Source organism: Homo sapiens, chromosome 5 (assembly GCF_000001405.40).
Source record: "Homo sapiens chromosome 5, GRCh38.p14 Primary Assembly".
Taxonomy (NCBI): Eukaryota; Metazoa; Chordata; class Mammalia; order Primates; family Hominidae; genus Homo; species Homo sapiens.
Window position 1 is genome coordinate 128,122,056 of NC_000005.10, and position 12,418 is coordinate 128,134,473.

Here is a 12,418-nt window from a genome sequence, read left to right on the forward strand (position 1 = left end):
GGTTTTAATTAATACTGTATTATATGAACTGAGCAATACAAAGGAAAGTTTCCTCAACCACTTTTTGCTTGGGGGCATTTAGTTGACTAAGTTAAAAGCAGAGGTCAGTATCTTTTCAGATAAAAGCCTTGGTTACATAAAACTTCAGATAGGTAGTTCTGAAGTTTCCAAAATCTAAAATCAACATAAACTTGCCTATTCCATGATGAAGTTTTATGTTACTTGTACTTTAGTCAATCAGCTGACAATTGTTGAGCATTTTGTGACAGACACTGGGTTTTTAACAGTGAAAGACAAAATGCTATGTTATTGGAGTTTACATTGAGGTAATAATAGTAGCTATTATTTTTTGAGAACTAACTGCTAGGCATGATGCCATGGTGTTGACATACATTATCTTATGTAATGCAACATTGTGGTTAGTCACATTTAACATTTACATGGATAGTGAGAACAAAAAATCAATTATACCCATTTTTTAACAAAATTAATTTTTATGCAGATTCTGCTTGTGAATTTTTAGAATGTCTACATAAGTCACAATTTTATGTACTCATATCTTTTACTTTTCTCTGAAATAATTGAGTACCTCCTCATTTTTGTAAATAGATAAAGCCAAAAACATTGGAAATAAGGAAAAACTTTTTCCACGTACTGTGACAGAAAAGTGCTTTCTGCATTTGAAAAATCAGATTATCATTGATTGTCAAATTTTTTTGTTTTATCCATTGTGTAACTATTAGTTCCTACCATTATCAAGCAAGGAGTTCTAAGTTAGAATTCAGCTCCATAGTTCCTTTTTTTAATAGCTAGTTTCTTTGAAATTATAACTTTTCAGATCAATGAAATGTTTGAAGCAGCTGTAAAACACAGTTGTATTATGAGGTTTATTAAATTTAACATAACTTTATGTTTTCAGTTCAGTAAAACACTATTTGTATTCTACAAATAGCTCAGATACGAATCTGGCAAGTAATAGAATTTTCAGCATGGGTTTTTTCTTTACTCATTGGTGACCTTTCAGTTTTGCCAGTTTATGCAGTTTATTATTAATACTTCAGCTTGGTTCCAAAATTGTTTGCTGCAGAATTAGGGTTATATGTCTTTGCCTCTTGTATCTTAAAATTTAATTGAATTATTCTGGTGATCATTCACAATAAGATAACACCTAATCCTGGTTGGAAGATTCCATGTTTGTCACCTCACCTTTCCCTATTTGATAAAATAATGGCAATAAAATAGAGAAAATTTGCCAAACATTAAGAGGCAAACTCCTTATTTTTATTTGTAAACCAGGATACTGGAATGTATTTCATTATTGTCACCCTTTGATTCTTTCCTCAATACACCAAGAAAACTTTATTTTTACAAAATTTTCACTTTCTATTCCAACCAACAGTGAGTTTCACTTGTTCCGTATCTGTATCCTCACCAACAGTTGGTATGGTCCTTTTTATTTTTCATTCTAGTATGTGCGTAGTGGTATCTTAGGATAGTTTTCATTTGTGCTTCCATAATGGCTAAAGATGTTGGGTATCTTCTCATGTACTATAAGTGTCTACTCATATTTTGAAGGGTTATTTATTGTATTGAGAGTTCTTACTATTGAGTTTTGAGAGGTTCTAGATACAACTACTTTATCAAATAAATGATTTATAGTTTTTTTGTCTTGAGTATATGGCTTGTCATTTCATTCCTTCAATGGCATCATTAGAAAAGTAGCTTATAGTTTTAGCTATGTCCAGTTCATCACTTTTTCCTTTTTGGATTGTGCTTTTGGAATGGTATCTAAGAAACCTTTCCCTAGCCTGGGGTCTCAAAGATTTTCTTCTGTGTTTTCTTCTAGAGGTTTTACAGCTTTAGGTTTTCAGCTAGATATATTACCATTTGTAGCTAGCTTTTGTATATATTGTGAAATGTGAATCAGTATTCATATGGATATCCAGTTATTCCAGCACCGTCTGTTAAGGTGATCTCTTTTCTGTTTACTTACCTTTGTGCTTTTCTCAGAAATTAATTGACCCTACAGTGTGAGTCTATTTCTAGACTCTGTGCCATTCCATTCATCTTGGCAAAAGCCCTTGTGACTCTTAACACCATTCATGAAGTTCTGCACATTAGGTAATAGCAATACTACTAGGATCTGTTTCTTGTTTTACACACTTCTGACTCCAAATGTGTGGGTTTTCCCCACACAAACCAATTCCCCAACTTTCTGGACACTAATTGGGTATCCAACAATTTGATTAAAATTTGACACTAATTTCCCAGAGTTGTTGCAGACCCTATAGGTTAAGAGCTGCATCTCACAAGACTACTCCCACTTCAAATGCCAGTTGCAATTCCAGGCCTCCTGTACCTCTGACCAACTGGCTATATATTGGGGGTTTCCACAGCCCCTTCCTCAGGTTTGATAATTTGCTAAAATGGCTCCTAGAACTTAAGAAAACAGCTTACTATCATCAGTTTATAATAAAGGCTACAACACAGAAAGAGCCAAATAAAAGAGTTGAGTAAAGGATGGTATGGGAGAAGGGATGCAGAGCTTCCATGACCTCTCCAAGTGCCATCCTCCTGGCACCTCTGTGTTCACCAGCCTGAGTTCTCTAAACCCCTTTGTTTATAGTTTTCCATTATATAGCCACGATTGATTAAATCATTGGCCATTAATGATTAGCTCAATTTCTAGTGCCTCTCCCTTCTCTTCTCCCCTAAGGTGTGAGGGGTGGGAGCTGGGGTGGGTAATGGGGGTATTGAAAGTGCTAACCCTCTAATCACATAGTTGTTCCTCTAGCAACTAGCACTGTCCAATCCGGAAGCTATGTAAGGGCCCACCAAGTCACCTTATTACCGTAAACTGAGGTAGATTTGAAGGGGCTTATTTTAAATAACAAAAGATGCTTTTCTCACCTGATCAGTAAATTCCAAGGGTTTTATAAGCTCTGTTGCAGTAACCTTGGATGAAGACCAAATATATATTTCTTCTTACATCACAACATCACAGCAAGGAAAATAATTTCAGTATTTTGCCTGAGTTTAAGATGGAATTGTGATCGGGCTTTATTTTTTCCAAAGGATTTTAACTCTTAAAACAATAATAAGAGATAGGTCAGGCAGTCATTTTAGTTTTGATTTTAGTTATGGGACTAAATAACAGATTGCTCGAGTCTTCTCACAGCTTTACTGTTCACCTATGGCTTAAAGTCACAGATTCTGAATCTCAGCCTTACTGCGTGTGAAATGAGAAGTTTAGTACCAGGATTCTATGAGGCCACACCTACAGACCACAGTGGAAGTGTATGGAGAGAGTGGTAGGTGGCAAGGAGGAGTTTGGGCTATTTGCTTGATGTTCAATGATGAGGAGCATCTTTTTATGTGTTTACTGGCCACTTGTACAATCTTCTTTTGGGATGTAGTCACATCTTTAGCCAATTTAAAAATTGGATTGTCTTTTTGTTACTGATTTGTAGATTTTTCTATATATCTAGTTATGTTATTCGGTTTGACATATATATTGTGTGTATTTGTTCTCAGTCTGTGGCTTGTCTTACCATTTTTATCATTTTCTTAATCATGTCTTTCAGTGAAGAGACGTTTACCATTTTGATGAAGTCCGGTTTCTCTTTTTTTTTATGCTAGTGCTTTGTTCATGGTAGAAATATTTGCCTATCCCAAGGCCATGAAGATATTCTCCTATATTTTCTTCTAGAAGCTTTATAGTTTCAGTTTTTAGATTTTTATCTGTGGACAATCTCAAATTAATTTTGGAGTATAATGTGAGATGGAGAGTGTAGTTGTTTTTCTCCCTACCCTTCTTGCCCCCATCCTTGTACACATATCCACTTGTTTTGGCACCATTTTTTGAAACAGCTATCTGTTTCTTATTGAGTTGTTTTTGATACCATTGTTGAAAAATCAGTTGTCTATCATCTGGACTGAATTCTGTTGCATTGATTTGTTTGTGTATCCTATGCTGGTACTATCTTGTATTGATTGCTTAGCTTCACAGTAAGTCCTAAGTCTTCTAACTTTGTTCTTCTTTTTCATAATTGTTTTGGCTTTTCTAGATCTTTAGCATTTTCATATAAATTTTTGACTTAGATATGCCAATTTCTGCCCAAAAAATTGGATTAACAACCTAAATATATAAGGAGCTCAAACAACTCTCGGAACAAAATCTAATAATCCAGTTTAAAAATGGGTAAAAGATTTGAATAGACGTTTCTCAAAAGAAGATATACAAATGGCAAGCAGGCATATGAAAAGGCACTCAACATCACTGGTCATCAGAGAAATGCAAATCATATAAAGAAATCAGGCAGTAACAGATGCTGGAGAGGATGTGGAGAAAATAGAACTCTTGTACACTGTTGGTGGGAATGTAAATTAGTATAACCGCTATGGAGGACAGTTTGGAAGTTCCTCAGAAAACTAAAAATAGAGCTACCATATGATCCAATGCTGTGTATATACCCAAAAGAAAGGAAATCAGTATATTGGAGAGATAGCTGCACTCCCATGTTTGTTGCAGCACTGTTCACAATAGCCAAGATTTGTCATCTGAATAGAGATGGTTTTTACTTTTTCTTTCAAATCTCTAGGACTTTTCCTCTTTTTCTTGCCTTTTGAACTACCTAAGACCTATGGAACAATGGTGACTAGAAGTGTTGAGAATAAACATCCTTTCCTTGTTCCTAGTCTTAGAGGGAATGAGTTCAATATCACTGTTAACTATAAGGTTTTAAAATGTCATTTGTCAGATTTAGTTCTATTTCTGAGTTGCTGAGCATATTTATCCTAAATGGATGGTGAATTTTGTCATGATTCTCCTGCATCTGTTGAACTGTATGTTTTTTTTCTTCCCTTATTCTATTATCACAACCTACATATATATATATATATATATATATATTTTTTTTTTTTTTTTTTTTTGCATCTAAAACAACCTAGCATTTGTAGGATAAACTTCACCGGGTCAGAGATATTATCGTTTCTGTCGAATTTTACTTGCTAATAGTTTAACAATTTTTGAGTATGATCATAAGGAATATTGGTCTGGAATTTTTTTTTTTTTTTTTTTTTTTGAGATGGGGTCTTGCTCTGTCACCCAGGCTGGAGTGCAGTGGCACGATCTCGGCTCACTGCAAGCTCTGCCTCCCGGGTTCGTGCCATTCTCCTGCCTCAGCCTCCCGAGTAGCCGGGACTACAGGCACCCGCCACCACGCCCAGCTAATTTTTTGTATTTTTAGTAGAGACGGGGTTTCACCGTATTAGCCAGGATGGTCTCCATCTCCTGACCTTGTGATCCACCTGCCTCGGCCTGCCAAAGTGCTGGGATTACAGGCGTGAGCCACCGTGCCTAGCCTGGAATTTTCTTTTTTTATAATAACCTTACTAGGTTTTTATGTCAGTATTATGCTCATCTTATGTGTTTCCTTTTCCTCTATTTTCTGAAAGAGTTTGTGTAAAATTGATCTTATTTCTTCCTCACCAGTGAAGCCATCTCTGCCTATAGTTTTTTTTTTGGCAGGAGTGCTTATCACAAATTTAATTTCTGTCATACTATAGGGTTACTTCAGTTTCCTGTTGCAGTCACACTTCTGCCACATTTTGTTTTTCAAGGAATTTGTGTATTTCATCTAGTTGCAAAATCATTGTAATCAAGTCATTTAATATATTACCTTCTTAACTTTTTGATGCAATAGGATTTGTAATGACATGTCCCTGCTTTCATTCCTAATTTACTTTTTTCTTCTTTGTTCTTGATTAGCTATTGTTTATCAGTTTTTTTTAATATTTAAGAATAACTTTTGGCTTTCTTCTTACTGTTTTTTCCATTTTAGATTTTATTTACTCTTTTTCCAGTTTCTGAAGTTAGAAGCTTAGATTATTGATATATCCTCATTTTTTAGTATAATCATTTAAAACAAATTTTACTGTAATTTCTGTTAGGTATATCTCACTAATTTTATGCTTCACTTTTCGTTATCAAATCAGTTCAAAATACTTTCTAATTTCGCTTGTGATTTATTTAAAAGTGTGTTATGTAATTTAAATATTTAGGGATCTTTCATGCATCTAATATAGTTCTGTTGTGGTCAGTAATATACAGTGTGTTATTTCAGGTTTTTGAAATTGAGACACACTTTATGACTGAAACCAGTTTTTAATGTTAGGCTTTTGATTAGCCTAGTTAGGGTTTTGATTACTGATTGGACATTTAATAAGAATTACCAGGGCATATATCCCCAAATCAAGATGTAATAAAGATGGAACTCAGTATTGTCACTACTTAGTATCTCTGGCATCTGACTAATTATGTTCTTTACAGTCAGAGTTTAGGGTAGTTTATGACCAATTATGAGACCCCATCAGGACTTTTTTTCCATATTGATGTCTGTGTTTGCTTGATCAACAGATTTTTTTAATAAAATTATTTTCTATGTCTTCAGCATTTTTAGCGATAACAGAAAGGCTGATTTACAAGAGTTTATCATACATACTGTATTGGTAAGCAATTAAGTCAAGGAGACCTGAGTTTAAATACAGTTCTTTACTTAGCTGCTTACATGACCTTAGCCAAATTACTTAACCTCCCTGAGCTGTAATTTTCTCATTTGTAAAATGAGGATGACAACAGTACTTTAGTAGAATTAAGTTAAATGTGTAGTATTTAACAAAATAAGGTGTATACCTAGTCTGTGCTGATTAGTAAAAAAATAACACAGCCTTTCAGAGTGGTAGATCTTTAAAAAAAAAAAAAAACCTCTAGGAAATAGGAATGGAAGTGGGAAGGAATAGGGCAAATAACTGTTGATTTTCATAAGAAGTAATAGATGATGTGCAGTTGTTTTTACATTCTTATCCATGTGTCACTTCCTTTTTCTTGAAAACAATACAAATCTTTTAAAATGTGAGTTTTACATTTTAAGTTTCTGTATTTGTGAAAGACTTTTAAATCTTTTGAAATCTCACATTTTATAAAATCAAAACTTTAAGGCACATAACATGAATTTCTTGCTTTAATAGGTCCTATTGGTGATATTTCTGATTCTAAAGTTTGTATTGTCAACTACTAAAGACAAGAGTGTTGACTAATTTCAATAACTTTTCTTTGTGACTTCATTTTCTCATCTATAAAATCAGGATATACTTTGTTTTAATTCATTTTTGCTATTGGGAGTAGATGAAATAATTCATTAATTTTTAAAACATACGTTAGATAAAGGCTGATAATTATACTATTGTAGGGATTTTACTTGTGATTAATTATAATGTGATGTAATATAGTCAAAGATCTTTGACAAAATTGTCATTATATAAATTAATTGGAGTTTTTAGTGTTCAAGAATATTTCGTGGAAAATTTTAAGTCATTTTTATCTCAAAATCATGAGGCTAATGTTAAATGGTTAGGTTGCTTTTTTTTTTTTCATTTTCAGGATCATGAAAACTAAGAAAGTTTTATAGTGGATGGGTTTAAAGTGTAGAATATTTTGAGCAAATTGATAGGAATCAACTAGAAAACCTGTTACAGGTGTTTTCCAAAATGAAGTTTGCATCATTAGTACTTTAACTGTAGAATTTTTTTGTTGGTGCATTTACCTTCTTTATACTGGGTGAACAATAGAAACAAATATTCAGCTGTTTAATGACATTTCACTATATGGTCTCAAGTATTTAATCAGTTAATAGAAATATGTATATAGCTTTATGTAACTTCAGTAGTATTAAAACCAAGTTTTGATTGTGACCTAATGGCCAAATTTAAATTAGAATTTTAAAAGAGCTCTTAGAGACTTCAGGTAAGCATTAGATTGTCTCTGAATCATAATACTGATTTCTTTTTTAAGTTAGAAAAAATAACTTGCTTCTTGATAGCTCATTTAATATCTTTGTTTATTCTGCCATTTAGACAGGATTTACTGGGATACAAACTACATCTCTTTGGAATACCATTATATGCTCTTGTGAGACTTTGTTTTTTTTTTTTGGTCTTGGTATTCACATTACCACAAATTGTCTTAATTAAGTAATTAAAATCATACCAACTGTGATTTAGAAGTTACATTAAGGCTGGGCGTGGTGGCTCACACCTGTGATTCCAGCACTTTTGGGAGGCTGAAGTGGGCAGATCACTTGAGGTCAGGGGTTTGAGACCAGCCTGGCCAACATGGTGAAACTCTGTCTCTACTAATAATACAAAAATCAGTCATGTGTGTAATCCTAGCGCTTTGGGAAGCTGAGGTCAGGAGATTGAGACCATCCTGGCCAACATGGTGAAACCCCGTCTCTACTAAAAATGCAAAAATTAGCTGAGCCAGGTGGCGCACGCCTATAGTTCCAGCTACTCAGGAGGCTGAGGCAGGAGAATCACATGAACCCAGCAGGTGGAGGCTGCAGTGGGCCGAGATCACACCACTGCACTCCAGCCTGGGTGACAGAGCAAGACTCTGTCTCAAAAAAAAAAAAAAAAAAAAAGTCCGGTGTGGTGGCACGCACCTGTAGTCTCAGCTGCTCAGGAGGCTGAGGCACGAGAATTGCTTGAACCCAGGAGGCAGAGGTTGCAGTGAACCAAGATTGCACCACTGCACTTCAGCGTGGGCGACAGTGAAACTGTTTCTGAAAACAAAAAAAAAAGCATAAAAATAAAAGTTACATTAAGATTAAATATATTAGAAATTCATTGGGAAATGATCTCTTGGGATCTGTGAAGGGGAGGAGGCTGTGGCCCATTTTAATCTAAACTTTAAAAGATAAAATGGGAATTCAAATAGGATGATTTTATATTTGATATTGGGAGCATTATCTGGATGTTGTGAATTGTTAATACGTGTTTTGTGAAATATTCTTTTTAGGTATTTCTGAAAATACAGTCACTCACTTGCCTCTTTAACTGCTCTGCTTATTGGGGGCATCTGCTTTGTGAATTCATGTATAATTAAAGGATAATTTGGCATTTTAAATCCTAACTTTAGTACCTGTTTTTTTTGTTTGTTTGTTTGTTTTTAGGAGGAGCATATTATTTAATATCTAGAAGTCTAGGGCCAGAATTTGGTGGTGCAATTGGTCTAATCTTCGCCTTTGCCAACGCTGTTGCAGTTGCTATGTATGTGGTTGGATTTGCAGAAACCGTGGTGGAGTTGCTTAAGGTAATTCACCTTCCTTCTAGTCATTCGTTTACCAAATCTTTATTGAGGGATTATATGCCGATCACCATGTTAGAGGTTGGGAAAGCAGTGATATGATGACCAAGAGATTCGTCCTTCATAAAGTTTACTACAGGAGATAGGCAAAGAACAAAATACTATTAGAATGTCAGCAGTGGGCCGGGCGCGGTGGCTCGCGCATGTAATCCCAGCACTATGGGAGGCCGAGGCGAGCGGATCACGAGGTCAGGAGATCGAGGCGAGCGGATCACGAGGTCAGGAGATCGAGACCATCCTGGCCAACATGGTGAAACCCCATCTCTACTACAAATACAAAAAAAAAAAAAAAAATCAGCTGGGCGTGGTGGCAGGCACCTGTAGTCCCAGCTACTGGGGAGGCTGAGGCAGGAGAATGGTGTGAACCCAGGAGGTGGAGCTTGCAGTGAACTGAGACGGCACCACTGCACTCCAGCCTGGGCGACAGAGCAAGACTCCGTCTCGGAAAAATAAAGAAAAGTACAGCCGGGCGTGGTGGCTCATGCCTGTAATCTCAGTACTATGGGAGGCAGAGTTGGGCGGATCACCTGAGTTCGGGAGTTTGAGACCACCCTGACCAACGTGGAGAAACCCGGTCTCTACTAAAAATAAAAAATTAGCCTGGTGTGGTGGCGCATGCCTGTAATCCCAGTTACTCTGGAGGCTGAGGCAGGGGAATTGCTAGAACTGGGGAGGCAAAGGTTGCGGTGAGCCGAGATCGCGCCTTTGCTCTCCAACCTGGGCAGCAAGAGTGAAACTCTGTCTCAAAAAAGAAAAAAAGAAAAATACAAACATTTTTGTATGGTTCAAGCACAAAAGCAGCAAGACATTTAATACTAGAGAGAGAAAAAATAATCAGGAGAAGGGTCTTATTTCCATTGAAGTTAGGGTCTTGTTTGGGATTGGGGGGCGTGACATGCTCAGATTTGGGATGTAGGGAAGTATCTGACCATGGTACGGAGAATGGACTTGAGGAATCACAAATGGAAATAGAGACCATTTAGAAGGTTGTAGGTGTCCTGGGAGAGGAGATGGTGGCTTATATTAAAACAGTGACTTGTGGAGCGGGAAAGATGTGGGCGAATTTGGGAGATTTTAAAGAATTTGAAGGATTGGATTTGATAATTAATGGGATGTGAGAAATTAGAGAAATAGGAGGATTTCAAGTTTATACACAAATTTCTGACTTTTGGATTTAGATGGAAGATAATGCCATTTGCGGTGTGATGGATAACACAGGACAGTTTAGTTTGAATGTGTTAACTAGAAGAACCATGAGTATATCCAAATAGAGCTGGCTGTATTGCTCTGGAGTATAATTAAAGAAGAGTGCAATAGGATTCCTCAAATATTATTAAATGAGAGGAACCTCAAGTGACACCTATAATTGCTCATGTTAGGTTAGGTTGTAACTATTCTACAGTAGTAAATGGTACATAAGGAAGTATAAAATCTGACAAGGATTGACACCTGCGTTGACATTGACCTTTACATGTTTACACCAAAGGGATGAAGAAAAAGGGCTATAATACCATGAGTAAGCAATGTACTCATTAGAGTTTATATTCTTTCATTGTTTAATTTAGTGTATATTTTTATTTGATAGTCAAAGTTTAAGGTTTACTCTATGAAGTCTTATCAAAGTATTTAATTAGGGTTTATACATGTTTTTGTTTCATGGAAAATTTAACTTAGAGAAATATGAAATTTCAAACATTTTAAACTACATTTATTATATAAAATATTGAGCTATAGCAGTAGTCTTCTATTACAATCATAGTCCATGAATCTAAAAGCCAGTCAATAGATACATTTACACTAGTACCGTTTTTTTTCAAGTAATTCTCAGATATGATTTTCCAAATGCTATAGGGAATTTCAACGATCAGATTAATTCAAGAGATGTCGAAATCAAATTTAAAAAAACACTAAAAAATTTTTTTGCAAAGTAAAAAGTATGTAGCTTTATGAAATTGAATGGGACCCTTGAAGGTGGACAAGGTTGGGAAATGACTTTTCCTACTGTGTTGATTAAATATTAACACTTTCTATGCCTTCAGTTGACAAAAGCATCTTTGGATCTTTGGATCTAGGGGTTTTTCCACCCTAATATTTGTATTAAGGTCATTTATCTGGAATTCAAGTAATTTTTTTCCTCCCTTGTAATTGACTTTTATGAAATAATTTCTTTTGAAAAGCATTAACAAGATTGCTTTTTCTTAAAAGAAGCAAATTGATAGGATTATTATAATCTGTACTTTAGTCAATTGCACAGAATATAGTCGTCCTGAGTTATCAAAACAACTAAATTATGTTTTAGTTTTTTTGTGCCTTTTATTACCTTATTTGAGAAGTGGTAGTAATTGATAAATAGCTTTTGCTTAGTTAACTGGGATATCATAATCTTTAATTTTATCCTAGATGGGAATCTTTTAAAAATGCCATTGATATTAAACTACAAATAATTTTGTTTGCAGAGTGGAAACAGTGTGTTTTTGGACAGCAGCAGGAAGTTGTGCTTATCACTTACTCTCTCACAGTATAAAAGACCTTTAAAAGCATGAGTTCACTAATCACAATAAATACAAAATATATTTCTGCTATATAACTTAAAATTCTAACTAGCAGTATTAGTTATAACTTTTTTACTTCTTTGTTAGCAATTCCTTTTTTGATTTATTGAGTCTATATTAAATATAGAAGCATTAATAATCATACATTTATGTCATCAGATGCTTGAATGACTAACACCTCAGTGGTAAATAGTAATTTGTTCCTTTAGGTCTTCCATTTATTCCTTAAGCAACCATTTATTCAACTTCTTCATGTAAGGCACCGTAATATCTCTAAAATGTTTCAAAAGGAGTGTGAATGTGTATAAAAATAACTAGTATTGCTTATTATATTTATGATTCCTTTTTCTAGGAACATTCCATACTTATGATAGATGAAATCAATGATATCCGAATTATTGGAGCCATTACAGTCGTGATTCTTTTAGGTATCTCAGTAGCTGGAATGGAGTGGGAAGCAAAAGTAAGTTATGATAGGAACACCTGTAAATATTTAATACGTAAACTTTTAGAGCTTATGTTTTGGGAACACTCTGAAGTATGGTAATATTTCCAGATTCTAATGGTACCTAAGTGGCCATTTTCACAAATGTTTATGTATAAGGTTATTTTCTACTTGACAAGGCAGAGAATCTTTGGAGATAACACTCAGCCTAGGATC

At 34.9% G+C, this 12,418-nt stretch overlaps 1 protein-coding gene across 6 annotated transcripts in view; it reads left to right on the plus strand.

The window, feature by feature from the left end:
• SLC12A2 (solute carrier family 12 member 2) overlaps nt 1–12,418 on the plus strand; it is a 105,912-nt gene that overhangs the window by 38,290 nt on the left and 55,204 nt on the right. For all 6 annotated transcript variants that reach the window (NR_046207.2, NM_001046.3, NM_001256461.2 and 3 more), the window contains exons 5-6: nt 9,012–9,151; nt 12,110–12,220. Coding sequence is in view for 5 of the 6 variants with exons in the window: in NM_001046.3 (NP_001037.1) it covers nt 9,012–9,151; nt 12,110–12,220 (251 nt within the window). In the remaining variant the exon portion in view is untranslated. The remainder of the gene's footprint in view (nt 1–9,011; nt 9,152–12,109; nt 12,221–12,418) is intronic.